Source organism: Homo sapiens, chromosome 4 (assembly GCF_000001405.40).
Source record: "Homo sapiens chromosome 4, GRCh38.p14 Primary Assembly".
Taxonomy (NCBI): Eukaryota; Metazoa; Chordata; class Mammalia; order Primates; family Hominidae; genus Homo; species Homo sapiens.
The window spans coordinates 173929899-173944762 of NC_000004.12; the positions used below are offsets into that span (position 1 = coordinate 173929899).

The 14864-nt window shown below is 36.5% G+C and overlaps 1 long non-coding RNA gene across 4 annotated transcripts in view; it reads right to left on the minus strand.

Moving 5' to 3' along the window:
* Positions 1-14864, minus strand: part of LOC105377543 (uncharacterized) — a 66783-nt gene that overhangs the window by 5715 nt on the left and 46204 nt on the right. For 3 of the 4 annotated variants that reach the window (NR_188467.1, NR_188468.1, NR_188466.1), the window contains one exon: positions 7344-7465. This is a non-coding gene — a long non-coding RNA (uncharacterized LOC105377543). Of the gene's footprint in view, positions 1-7343; positions 7466-7590; positions 7973-14864 lie in introns of those variants that run through there. The other variant, NR_188469.1, reaches the window with a different exon arrangement.

Genomic DNA, 14864 nt, shown 5'->3' on the forward strand with positions numbered 1-14864 from the left:
AATGTTTGTGAGATATTCACTGACTATAAGCCATACTCTGTATTTATTTAGCTAAAACAGACGTCTTTCATATTTAGTTAGCAGAAAATGCTCACATTTACTCCTTTCCTGTTTACCAAATGAAAGGGTAATTGTTTTTTCACAGATTGCACTAGAAAAGTGTCTTCTCTCTCTTTTTCAAATAGATTGTCTTTAAAACATATGACAGGAAAAGTGACTATTGTTAGGATAAGATAATTACGATTGTAACAGCTAGTTTAAAAGAAGTGTCAGTTGCTCCTGTTTTATTTTTCACAGGATAGAGCTGCGGCCTGTCTCAGTATGATGTTTTCAGGATCTGGTATATATTTTTATTTTCCTACATGAATCTTTCATCCTTTTACTGACATTTATTCATTTTATCTAATTATCCTAAAAGGAAAGCTCTGGCCAGGCAAATTGGTTGTTGTCTGCCTCTGAAGAGACATTCATATCGCGTCGCTTAGCTTTCAAGTTTTGTGATCAGGAACCCTCAGGCCCATTTTTAAGGAGGTTTCAGGCTAGCTGAGCTTCACTGTCTCCCAAAATGTACAAAATGAGATTACATGAGGGACAAGATCAATTTACTGGAAGGTACTTAAGCAGTAAATCTGGAGCTTTTTGTCCAGTCACTATTGCTTTCAAGCTTTGTAGCAGAAAATTAAGCCACAAGAGCTTTGACAAATTAGATATTACTACCTCTAATTGTGTATGTTTAAGCTTATCACACTGAATTGCAGCATTGTAACTGACTATTATGCCAACAAGGCCTTCGTTTAATCAGCGCAGTGCCATTTAATCGCAATTAATCACTCAACTAAAATGTCATATTAAGGTCACAGAAACTTGAAGGGCTAAAAGAAAAGAGAACATTAAAGTCAGCTGATGGAGGAAAAGAGCATGGTGTGCCAAGGGAAGTTCTGAGCACTCTTTTTCATTAGAAGCTGGTAGAACATTTAATGAGAATTCAGTCTTAACTTTCAGCTGAGATCAGAACAACGTGCCTCACTTGGTTAAGCAGGAGACTATTCTGCCCATTCTTAGCGGGCTTCTGTCTGTAAATAGGATACTCCTGCCCACAGAATACCTGAAATTTTACAGATTCATGATTTTTATTTCTATTATTCTTTGGCTTTCTGGCATTTTCCCCTTTCCTATTACTTTTAAGAAGGAAAGAAATCAGATATGATATGGTACTGAAGACAAGATGAAATAAATAGCATCATTTTGCACAGTCACTTACAAGGTATTTATAAAAAGGAACAATTGGATTCACTTGTTTGCCAGGAAGATTTTATTTCCCAGAAAACTTGTCAAATCGAATGTTATAGTGCAAAAAGAAAATGACTGAAGCTTTTGTTTTTTAAATTTTAATACTCAAGAAGTACTATGCCAGTCTGAAAGATCTCTGTTAGCCCCTCACAGGACAAAACTTGTGAGAAGTAATTTCACCCGGAGGACCGGGACTCTGCCACCCATGGCTCATTCCTTATGCTTTAACCCTGCCTAGCCCTAAGAAATATTGTTCCACTAACTGATTGACTCTGAAAACAGAGCCATGGTAAAGGGTATATAGACAAAGGGCACACTTAAGGTCTCTCTTTGTTAAGGAGTAGTAGGTAATTTTATTTTATTTTGTTTTATTTTATTTTATTTTATTTATTTATTTATTTATTATACTTTAAGTTCTAGGGTACATGTGCATAACGTGCAGTTCTGTTACATATGTATACATGTGCCATGTTGGTGTGCTGCATCCATTGACTTTTTCAGCAACGTGGATGGAACTGGAGGCCATTATGTTAAGTGAAATAAGCCAAGCCCAGAGGGACAAATATTGCATGTTCCCACTCATATGTGGGAGCAAAAACAGTGGATCTTAGAAGACAAAAACTAGAATGGTAGTTACCAGAGGCCAGGAAGTGTAGGGGGAAAGAAGACGAAGGAGAAAAAAGAATATAAATGTATTTATTACCATGAACTGTACACTTAAAATGGTAAAGATGGTAAATTGTATACATGCATCTCCTCAGTAATAAATAGTTTTTTAAAAAACTGACTCTAATGACCACTCTTCAAACTTGCAATAAATAGCACAGACACTGGAAACAATGACCACCTCCAACAGGAAAAATGAATTTCAGTTTTCATACCCACTGAGCCTATGAAGCTTGGTGAGCAAGATGTCTGTGTTTGAGCAAGGCTCGCTCAAACCGTCTCCTGCAGACCTGTGTGGAACGGTGCAGTCCACTAGCCACACGAGGCTACTGAGCACTTGAAATGTGACTAGTATAAATTGACATGCACTGCAAAGATGAAATACACACTAAATTTCAAAGACTGACTTTAAAAAAAGAATGTAAACTCATTAATAATTTTTTGTTGATTACATGGTGAAATACCAATTTTGGAGTATACTGAGTTAAATGAAATATGTTATTAAAATTAATTTCATCTGTTTCTTTTCACTCTTTTCAATGTGGCTACTAGGACGTTTAAAATTATGTGTATAGCTCATATCATATTTCTATTGGACAGTGTTTGTATAGACCAATGAGAAGAGTCACTTACATCGGTATCACCACTGACCTGGACCAGATGTGATCCAGTAACCCAGAGGAGAAACATTTCTGACCTATTCTAATCCTCTAAGCCAAACAGGCTCTTAATCAAAGAGCTAGTGTTTTTACAATATCAAATGGAAAATAAATATAATAACCTCAATAGTACACTTGAAAAAATGAAGGATTAATTTTAGAAAGACAGGAACTGGCATTATTCAGATTGAAGGAAAAAACAACAAGGCGAAATTTAATAAATATCTCCTGGGGACATATGAGACAGGTTAAGATTGCAGCATGAAGGCTGGAGGTTAACTTAAATGATTTCTTAAGAGTCAGGGTTGTTTAACACTTGATACAGGTTGTGACTCTTCTTTTCCTGGAGGGCAATGATAATAAGGCAAGGCCTCCTCTGAAGTCCTAGATAAGCATAAGATTGGAGAAGCCAATTTAAGATAGCTATGCCATATCAGCACTTATTCAGATACTTTGAGTGCCTCTGAAAGTTGGTGATGAGACGGGACTAGATTACCAGCCCTTTCAAACACACTGAGCCTCAGTCAGAGCCATCTTTAATTTCTCTCCTTAGGTGTTAATAAAATTCATCTTAAAATTTATTACTTTATGATATCTCAACATTCTCTTACAAAATTTGCACTTAAAAGCTTATCAAAATCTTATACCTGGAAATTGAATGGAAGCACCTTACAAGCTGAAACAGTGTCTTTATTTATAACAGTAAAAATTACCTTTTTATTATAACACACCCTTGTACGCATGTAACTATATCATACATGTTATATAACTAAATGTGTATGTGCACTATAGGATATAGTAGCCATTCAAAAACATTTGATGAGTGAATATATGTTCACTCACAATTGAAAAAAAAACCAAATGTCCGCATTTCCACAGCTGAGGTAGAGAAGGCAGCTGAAGTGTGGCAGAAAGCCCAGCCTCTCCAGTTCTGGTCCAGTGCATTTATATTGCAAAACGTTGATAAGCAAATGCTGCACATGGGTATAATAAAGTTTGGAAATTTTACCAATGAGATGTAGTGTTAGAACAATTTTATGCCTTGGTAAATTATCAATAACTTCTCTAAAAATATCGATGTTTTAAAATCTCTTGCAAGGTAACTTCCTCAGAGAGCATGGCTTTATATTAGTAAGTAAAGGAATAGTCACTACATAGGTCAGTATGAGAAAACCAAATGGAACCACAAATCTCTTTCTAAAAATTCTACCTAAATAAAAGTTCCTGATCAAGTTAAAAGCCTAGTTTATAGCACATGATGCTTTGTCTGATCTACATCCAAGGTAACTTCTTGAGTGGAAGACTTTGGGCTTTTTTAGACAAAGGTTTCTGGCCTCCATTTTTATAAAGCCTAGTTAATTTATATGCTGAGGTCTTCGGTGGATCACAGGTGTATTTTCTCTATATTTATAACCACACATCAATTTTTAAATGGAAACATCTGAGCTTTCAGTGGCTATGAGCCAGTCTTGAGTGAGGAAGCCATACTCACACAAAACTTGGTATAATAACCAGGTGTAGCCAAAATAAGGCACATCCATATGCATGTTGAGTTTCTGCCACATAAGGAATTTATAATAGAGTTTATCACTTATCAGAATGTATTTGGGCTTACACTGACTCCATTACCAAGGAAAAGCAATTTTAACGAGGCTTTCCTGTAAGGAATCTATTGTTTCTTCTTCCTAAACTATCAACTTCACCTGAAAATACTTCTAAAAATGAGAAAAATAGTTAATTTTCAGCCATTGAGTCTACCTTTGGCTGGATGTATTCCTTTAATTTCAGTGCCAACGCATAACTATTTGGCCTTTTATAAAGGTTGCGTATTTTTCTTCTGAGTAGAGTTGCCCTCACTATGTCAGAAAACATGCATATGTACTCTTCCAAATGAGGGGAGGGCCTTATAGCCTCACTGATGATGAGCCCAGAGTGAGTCACTCAGGATCTTGATATTGTTTTTTGAAAACAACAACAACAAAAATACTGGTGTCTGTATAGAAAATGCCTAATTCTTTCCAGGTATCAATAAATTACTTTGCTAGTCAGAGTATCAATGTTGGATGGTGTTGTGAGGTTTACATCCATGTCTAGAAAACCACATTTATGCTGCAAGCAAGCTATTATAAAAAGACGAAAAATAATATATTTTTAAAGGACTTTCCAACAAGTTATTGGAACTGTTCCTTTAAATATTAGGAAAGCACTCCAACTAGTATACCTAGTATACTACCTGGTAAAAATTAAAATAACTACTACACGCTTTTTTTGGAAGATCTGAGTGATATTTCCAAGTGTCCTAAAAAACAATTCTTCTTCCCCATCTCAATCCCTAACCTCTTTTGAAGGAACAGCCATTGTTTGAGCCAGGCAATTTAATTCTTAGGACTTTTATCAACATGACAGGTCTCAGCCTAAACCAGGGAACTTTTTTTTTTCCTTTTATTTGTTTTCTTTTCAAGATATAGATGATATGCCCCTATCCAATGTACAGTTTAGTGAGATGGATGACACTTCACTCACTGGCAGTTCAAGGAAGTCTTAGCCTAGCTTGTTTACATGAACACGTTTTAGAACAGCCATATAGCTTCCAGCCAGCTCTACCCTGCTGCCCAGCACTAAGGGGGAAAGCAGGCAGTGAGCCCATAGGTCGCTGATAAACTAACTCCCCATTTGGCAAGCAGGGAAGGGAATGATAAGGGCTCTGATTTATGTTTTATCTGTCGCTAAGTTTTCAGCCAGCCTGAAATGACTTGGTTCTGTTATCACCTCAGATGCCACAGGTTTCTTAAGTGAGGCAGATTCTTTGGCGACTTTTAAAAAGAACTTTATTTCACCTCTTGCAGAAGGTTAGCTTAGCGATGGATGCTGCTTTAAAACACTCCCATCTGGCTTCATAAACTGTGAGGCTATAAACCAGCTTGTGGGCTCTATTCCATGGTTAGTTCTTGACATCACCTGCATGTAACTATGCTACCCTTTTGGAAACACAAAGCTGGGTGTGATGCATATAATGACAGGGATGCTTGAATCTTTTAAAAAAATTACATACCTAAAAATGTGTTAATATGAAAATTGCATACATCATCCTACCCAAACTTATCTAAAAAGAAAACTTTCTACAAATTAATTTTCTGTCAACATACGTTGACTTCAGATAGTAAAAAGAAATGAAGAAGAAAAATCTGTCTTGAGGGAGAAAAAGAGTGTCAGTGGATACAATTAGAAAGCAAAAAAAAAAAAAAAGCCCCTGTTTTCTGTGATGGATGCTGCAGGGCAGCTCTGGGGGTCAGTGGGAGATTAGCTGACATAAAAGCAAGGGAGTGTATCCTTATCTAGTAAACTAACACAAGTCAGTAAATGAAAGCCCTCGGTCCCCAACCTATTTCAAGTTGTTTCCCCCTAAGTTTAAATTGGCTTGTCGTTTTACAAGGATGGATGGGTATTATTTTTAAGCCTTTATTTTACAATGGAAGAATGTGAGTGTTTCACAAGTGAAATGTTCCCATGGAGAAGGGAATAGCAATGAATCATAAACAGTGTAAACACTCCCAAGCTTCTTATATATGTAAGGTTATGTGCTAATATCTTCTCTCCCAGTAGTGTTTTCTTTCCAAACACCGTAAGAAGAGAAGTAGGGGCCAGGGAGAGGCCTTTGGAGCTATCTTTTGAAAACAATGGGAGTCTATCTCCTCTATTCTCAACTGTGTAATCTTTTTGTTATCTGACGTGAACTCATAGAAACTGACTATGTATTTCCCCTCAGTAATATCCTTCTGTGACCTCCTCTCCACCCACCTTCCTTCAGGATAAAATCTAAACTTCCTAGCAAGCTGGGACCTTCCTAAACTAGACCTTTAGGATTGGCCACTGTTTACCCATCTGGCCTCCTCCATTGTCACTTTCCCACAGGCACTTTTTACAGAAGGCACACTAAAGCACCTGAAATTCTTTGATTATTTGGTGCCTTTATACTTTATTGATTTTACCCTTGTCCAGAAAAGCAACGAGATTTAAAATATCAGTTTTGATCACTACTATATTTCCAAAGCCTAAAACTGTTCCTAGAACTTGCTAAGCATCAAATAATGTTTGTTAACCAAATAATGTACACATGCTCCTTCCTGGATTTGTAAAACCCTTCTCCTTTCTTCCCCTGCCCGAATTTTTACTTCGATTTCAAAATTGTGTCACTTTGTGGAAATCTTCTACCTCCCATATGCAGAACTGGAAAAAACATCATCCTCACAGGGTCTTATAGCACCCACTGCACTCCTTCAACATTTTCTACATTGCATTTTAGTTGTTTGTATCCACTAGCAGAGAACTTCTTACAGGTGGGTATTATTTTCCAGTTCTGTGTGCTCTGTGTCTAGGTGAGCATATAATGAATTCAACTAATGCCCAAGTTCCCTCTAGGCCCAAAGGCCCAGACAATCTGTTCCCTAATTAACCTTTCAGATCACTTCTCCTACTTCTCCCCACTCTCCCTCCCCCTAATCTAGTCACACAGATTTCCTTGCCTTTCCTCCACATGCAATGCAAATCTTCATCCCCTCCCACTGTGGTCCTTCTGTCTGCATCACTCCTCCTCCTGAAAGCATTCTGCCCATAACTCTTTCATCATTTTTGTGCAAATTGTCACCTGCTTAATGAGGTCTGCCTTGCACACCCTCCCTGAACTGCAATCGTATCCACCCTCATTCCTACCCCTTTTTCCCTTCTTACCTCCTGACACACAATATGGTGATTTGTAGGTGCGTTGTTTTTGTGTGTCCTCCATTTGATCTCAAGTTTCAGGAAAGCAAAGGTCTTTGTTTTATTCATTGAAGTATCTTGTATCTTAAAGCCTGGAATACAGTCAGCAATCAATAAATATTTGCTGAATAAAATACTGAATACATATTTACTGTTTTTAAAAAAAATATATATATATATATAATCAATTACATAGTTGAATAAGGTCATTATCTACCTTAACACATGTCCTTTCTTTGCCTCAATAAAAGCTATAGAGTTTTTCACTGCTTCTTTTGAAAGTCCAATATACAGCCTAATTGAATTCACAGTTCAGTTCCTAATGCCTCATTTAAATTTTCCTTTTAAATCGAATTACTTGTCTTCATAAAGAATACTTTCTTTGGCTCAAACTTTTCACAAACTTGCAATCTTGCCTCGTAAGCCACAGTTTTCAGCCCCTGTTTAAAATCATGGTTGATTTTTAAATCAGCCTTCTCCACTCTTGATGACTTCCATAAAAATCAGTTTGTAAGCTCTTAAATTCCTTAGTGTATTCACTCTACACATTGGGCAGCTGAGAAAAATAGGTCAGGAGCTGGACTGGGGCTCCTGGAACCTCAGCTTCTGAAGCTTCCTGTTGCTGTACAATTGACTATAAAAGAGTTCATTTTCCCTATAAAAATATTTTCACTTTATTTATGTTCCCACTTTTTTTTTACCACAATTTAAAAAAACCACTAAAAGCACAACATAAAAATATTTATACTTGTTTTCTCATCACCACACTGGCATGCGATCCCTGGCACTAAGCATGGAAAAGAGACATCACTGGAAGTCCTGTGTACAAAATATTATTCTCTGCATAGTGCTATCATTAGAGGATAGGGACATCCAACCTTTACTGAAATGTAGCAATCAGATATGTTTCTTGAGCTTATATATGGGTGGTTGAACAATGGTTTTAAGAAATAAGATCATCATTTTGTTTTTGTTGTTGTTTTTTGATTTCCCTTTTCTTTAAATCTTGCTGTGCCTTTTCTAATGTATTTCTTCCTTTTTACTTTTTTGTGTTTTTTCGCAGTTATGTAAGTAGGTTATCTCAGATTAGCATCCTCATTTTAAATTTATTTTATATCTACTTACATTTGTATTAGTATAATTAGATAATCGTGTTACACAGTTCCTTTTTCCTCATTCAAGGATATGTCTTACCCATGGCATTATCTTAGGTATAAATGTTGTCTTCTGGATTCACGTCTACTTAATAACACATAAGTAATTTGGCATGGACTAACTTTATGTTAGTTATAACATGAATAACAATACAAACAGTACATATAATGAATCAATATCTTAAATCACTGTATGATTTATAATTTTTGCATGTACTCTGTTAAGAGGCTTTATCAGAAAGGGCCTTAATTATTTTGAAATTGTTTTCCATGTCTTAAAAATATTGTGCTGAGAAACAAGATATATGGGCCTTATGTACAATAAGACAATAGTTCATTTGTGTGGAACATGGCCAAACACAGGCTCAACCAAATGGTATCATTTTTTTTTAAACATTTACTGAGTATCTTCTGCCCATATTAGGCAAAGACTTGGTGCTGACTTTATATTTGAGCAACACTTATGATGTTCCATGCATTAAATTTAACCTCCATAGCCCTCTGAGGTTAGGTGTCTTAAAAAAAAAAAAAACCTGTAAAAGTAACTTTATTCAAAGTCACTGATTTTGTTTAGTGGCTCTACATTACTACATTCACATTCATGAAATTAATAATGTACTGCATTTCACCAGCTGTTCATAAGACTTTCCTGGAGGCAAGATTGGTACATTCTTAGAGAACTGGGGGAAAGGTTATTGAAAACCTCATGGGTTAGGATATATCCAGGATGGCCAAGCCCAATAGATTGCCAAGATTGAAGACAGGGGTTGAGTTGGGATGGCTGGAGGACCTGAGGACCAGATATTTACTTCACAAGGTGCAGTTATGACAACAAAAACTTTAGAGTGGGAAGTATTCTATTTTTATAAAATGTATGGTAGGATAAAATGTTAAGGTAATAATTACAACAATTGTTTCACTGTCCCCCAAGCTTTGCCTTCAATGTACATAGATAGTGAGGTTCTCATCTCCACTTGGCTTGGCTTGACTGTCACTCAGTACTTCAATATAGAATACCAGGAGACTGAGCCTCGGTCCGCATGAAAGAGAACAAGGGTTTGAGGGTTAGGGTTTTTCATACTATCAGACTCCTGGGCTTGGGAAGGGAGTCGGGCGAGTGTCAGGTAAATGGGAGCTGGATTGAACCTCAGAGATCAGCCTGAGCAGGAAATCAGGAACTGTTTGTCACCAGCAGCCAAAAGCCCCATGGGAGTCCAGAGATTATCCAAGCTCTGTTCATGTACCCAGTGGACATCCCCTGACTCTCTTGGGGTTCATAGGGGTGATAGCTGTCCTTCCCTCTATTTGTTACCCCTCTTTGAACTTTGAACAGGTGGTTCAGCTCATACATTACAAAGAAAAAGTGACCCATCACAGACACAGAGACTTTCTCTACTCTTAAAAAACGCACACTGTCTGACAGTGTATGCCCAAATTAAAGGCTATCAAAGGCACAGGGTGAACTGGAGGTTAAAAATTACCCTATATATTTTTAAGAGAGTTAGCTAGCCCAGCATAAAGTGAAAGATGCATTTGTTTCCACTTATTCTTGAATAGCTTTGGTGCTTCACAACAAAGCAGGATTTGTGTTTTAGCTGTTTGGATAAACTAAAGCTGGATAATGATAGTATAATTCCTGAATTCAAATAATCAAGATTCTAAATGGAGTCTATGACTTTATAGAAAATAATGTTAAATGGACTATATGATATTACCTCTCTCTTTGTGTTTGTGTGAGATAGAGATATATTTAGTTTGTCTCAGGTGTATACTACTAAGCTCCAGGAAATTGCAGTGAAACATTTGTTCACTTTTAGGATTTGAGTTATAAATCAGCCAAGTAAAGATATATCCTAATACAAGTGTCAAAATGATGAATGATATCAGTATTGTACCACGTGCCGACACCAGACGTCACTGCTGTTGACAAGCTTGTGACTGTTTCACTAACAGACTGTGTCTTTCCGAGAATGGGTTTAGTACTTGGAGATAGCCCTTCCTTGGATAAAAGCTTGTGCAGCTGTCATCCAGGAGAACCTCAGTGCTTCTAGAAGCTGCCGTTTTAGTAGAAAATGTAACAAACAATTCTTCCTCCCATAGCTGTGAATCTGAAGTGAGAGGTTGTGTTCTTACTGCCTCACTCCTGAGTTTTGTCTAAGGATGTCACTGCTTCTGACCCCAAAGTTTGGAGAGAGATTTTGAAATTTGTTATTATGGATTTATATGCTGCTCCAGAATGCCTCACCAAGAGCTTAATGCTCTTTCCATCAACTTTATTTTTAAAGGAAACTGTTCAGAATATGTGTTCATTTGTTGCCAAAGATATTAGTGATAAAATACCTAAAATATGTATAGCTTAAGTCATACAATTGCCTAATAAATTAGTACCAAAAAAGCATAAAACCTCAAGAATAGTTAATAATGACCCAATATTGTGTTACACTGTGGCTGTAAAAAAATAACCTGAAAATCTTTCTAGAAAACTCATGGGTCCATTTTGTATGCTTTTTAATATTATGGGTATCCAGATGTGTGAAATGTATTCTGAGACGCAGAATGAAGACATTCGAGGTCATCACTGTGACCCTGTCTACCAATTTTTTAAAAATTCAAGTGTAAACAATGATACAGACAATCCTACAATGTACTTCTCTACCCCTTACTGAGTTTCAGTGGTGATCCCATTTTATCCTTAGACACCTCCCAACAACATTTTTTCAGGAATATTAAAAAAATTCCAGACGTGTCATTTCACCTGTAAATATTTTCAGCATACACTCTAAATGCTGCGAACTTTTTTCTATTAACCACCATGCTCCCATGCCAACAAAACCAACAGTTGCTAAGTATAATCTATATTCATATTTCCAATCTATATTCAAACTACCCTGATTGTCTTAAAAGTGTCTTTCTACAGCTAGTTTGTTCCAATAAGGACTCATATAAGATCAATACACTTTGTTGTTAGTCAATTAAGTTTATTTTATTTTGTAATAGTCCTTTTTCACCCTACTGGCTTTGCATCATTGTTTTGATAAAGAGATTAGAATTCCCTGTGTTCTGGGTATGGCCAGTTGCTTCCTATTGGTTTTGGTTTTGGGGTTTTTCTTATAAACTGGTACTTAGATCAAGAAGCTTGATTACATTCAGCTTCACTTATTCAAACATGGTGTTGAGTACTTGGTGTTCTTAGTATTGCTAAGATTGATCAGTGGGGTCAGATGAGGTCAGCCCAATTCTCTATTATAATGATCCCCATCACACTTTCACTTAATTATTTTTTTAGCATATATTGACTATGGCTACACATAGCCATTATTTTACTGGAGTTCACAAAATAATGATTCCCTAATTCTGTCATTTCCGAAATTTTCTATAATAAGAATTGTACCTTATGAATTATTTAGTTACTCTGAAATACAGATCATCTGAGACAGTCACAACTGTTTTTCTTTATTTATTGATGCTCAAGATAATGTGTTATGGTACTAGTAACCCCAATCCCAAAGATGCTGAAAGTGTCTTTTGTTTTGAGTTTTAAAATTATCCTAATGAATGCATAGAGTTTTATATATGTGATGTGTTTTAATCGATTGCAGTTTTGTTTTTATACTAAAACTCTCCCATCTTAGGCTGGTGGAATCCTCTTCAAGTTGTCTCCCATGTCCCTTTGACATGATTGAATTTCTTTTTAATACATTTCTAGTTTCTTCCAGCCTCATCTTATATATTTCCTTGACCTACTATCAGCCATTTCTCTAAGAAACCCCGGTTCTTATTAGTGGGAAATCTGACCACCAAAATTTGATTTTTCTAAGAAATATTGCCCTTGAGTCATGGGCATAAACATGGCACGTAGTATCATTCTCTCTTTTTTTTTTTTTTTTCAAATTTCCCAAAGTGTTTGAAAATGCTGGACATTGTAGAACCTTCAAATAGAACTTTCAAAGTTTAGCAAGCCAATCTGTTACCTCTGTAATAACTTGAAATTTTTACATAATGTGTGGATAGCATGCACAAGTGTTTTCATCTTATGTTTTTACAAATTTTATTTAAAAAATAATACTTCAGTTTTCTGAAACAGGAACCATGTACACCAGTGTTCATCCATCAATCTCAAAATGTAAGTGCAATATAGCTTAAGGAATGATGTTTTTAATTATATAATTATTTTTTCTCACTTTTAATTATAAAAATCATTTGTGAATATGCTCTTCTTACACTAGTGTTTCTATAATGGCATATTCAGTGCTCAGCTCCCAGGTGTAAGTTTGAAGTATCTTTTTAGCTAAAATTTGGATAAATCAAATCCATTTGTATAAAAACAATTTGAAATCCAGATTTATTGCCTACAATCTGAAATGCAACATATGGGGCACAGCTCCCATTCCTTTGTTGCTACGTGTGTGTTCTTCATTCTCTTGGAAAAGGCCCCAAGGGTGCAGAAAGCAGAGGGACACAGAGAAAAGACTCCATTTCACCTACTGCCTGAACTTCTTTGTGGTTCTATGCTATGGTTAGGATCAGAGAGATAAGGCTTTTGTACCAAAGAAGGAATTTCTCAGCTCAGTTGTCTTCAGAAAATCCCTGGGCCTAGCAGGCAAAGATTTCTGTTCTTTCTAGATGTCTTTCAAAACAGTGCAATCCCCTAATCAAAAGCTCTGGAAACTTCTCTACAATTAGAATCTTCTGAAATTCCTAAGTTCTATTCACTGTCCAAGGTGCATACATCTCCACATAACTGTCTTTTTGTTGTTGTTGTTGCTGCCTTACTTATTTTGATGAATTGAGCCTCAATAGGTACATTTCTAGAATTTGTGCTATTTGAGCCCTTGGGAATTTGTGAACTATTATTTTAGAATAAAAATGAGCACACTCAGCATTAGAAGATATCAAAGGGTGAGACCTCATTTAGAAAGGAGAAGAGGCAGTGGTCTATTGTCTTCTCTACATTTAATTTTGGCTTTAGGGTACTGTCAGGTCCATGAAAGCCAGTAGTCCTGAAATTGGCCTAACTGTGCATGCTCCCACCTCATTGTCCTTTGAAAAAGATTCATATAAGTCTTTCCTTTTTACATTTTATGTGCTGAACTTTTCATTATCAAATAGAGTGTCTTGTGGCCTTCTGAAAATACTTTTCAAATTAGAGGAAGTTTGTTGTTACTTTTCTCTTATGAAATAGTAACAAACCCTTATCACACACAACACTTATTCTGTGTGACAGACACAGTCCTAAGCACTTTGCATAGATTGCTCCACAATAGCCCTGTGACAAGGATACTGTTATCAGTCTCATTTTATAGATAAGAAAATTGCGATGCCTAGAGGTGAAGTAACAGGCTTGGCATCACACAAACAATTAGGGGCAGGGATGTGATTTCAACCCAAGCAATGTGGCTCCCACTAGTCTCAGAGCCACTCAAAGTGAGTTAGACATATAATTAGCTTCTGTGATCTGGTACCCTGAGGGGTCAGAAAGACCTGGGGCTTTGTATTCCAATTGTCTGGAGTTTAATTTTGGAACTGTGGTAATACTATAAAGCCATTCTCAGTTACTATAATGGAAAGAACTCCTTTCTAAAGTAAACCAAGCAACATATATCTAGGTCTGTGATAAATAAAATTGATATTGTATGTTTCCTTGAAGGTAAATAGAGTGGAAAAATATATATCGTAGTATCACTATAGCAACTGTATTTTGTATCAGTTCAAGTTTCTGAGCTTTAATTTGAAAGAATGACAAAATAAGGATTTGGAAGCCTGAATCAAAGGAATGACATTCGTATTAGAAAGTATGAATTAGAATCTGGACTAATTGCAATGAAGTATGAATTAGAATCTGGATGAATTAATTTTAATATATAAAAATATTCTAAATGAAAACCATGCATCCAAGAGTACCATGGCCCATACAGAAAAGTTGATCTGCTATCCCCACCAGCACCTGGTCCTCTACAAATTATTATCTACAAAAGTGGATGTCACTGAAGTCAAAATAGAAAGTCAACAGATCTGAAACCATGGTGATGCAGGAAAATGATGAGTCGTTCCCCATAATCCTGTGCCTTCTTGAGGTCAAGGTAATATTGCTCCCAAATGTCATTCAGTTCTGTGGCATCAAAAGGTACCTGCTATGCACTAGGCAGAGACCACCAACCTCTGGATGGGCTTGGAACCCAAGTCTCTAAAGGTGAAAGGTCACAGCCTCACCTCACAACACTGCCTTGGGCCTGTTTCTTATTACCAAATAATTTCCAGAAGGAGATCAGGCTTGAGCCTGATTTTCCAGTAGCTGTGCAGGGGAGAAAAAGAGTTTGGAAAGGAGGACTGCTGTTCT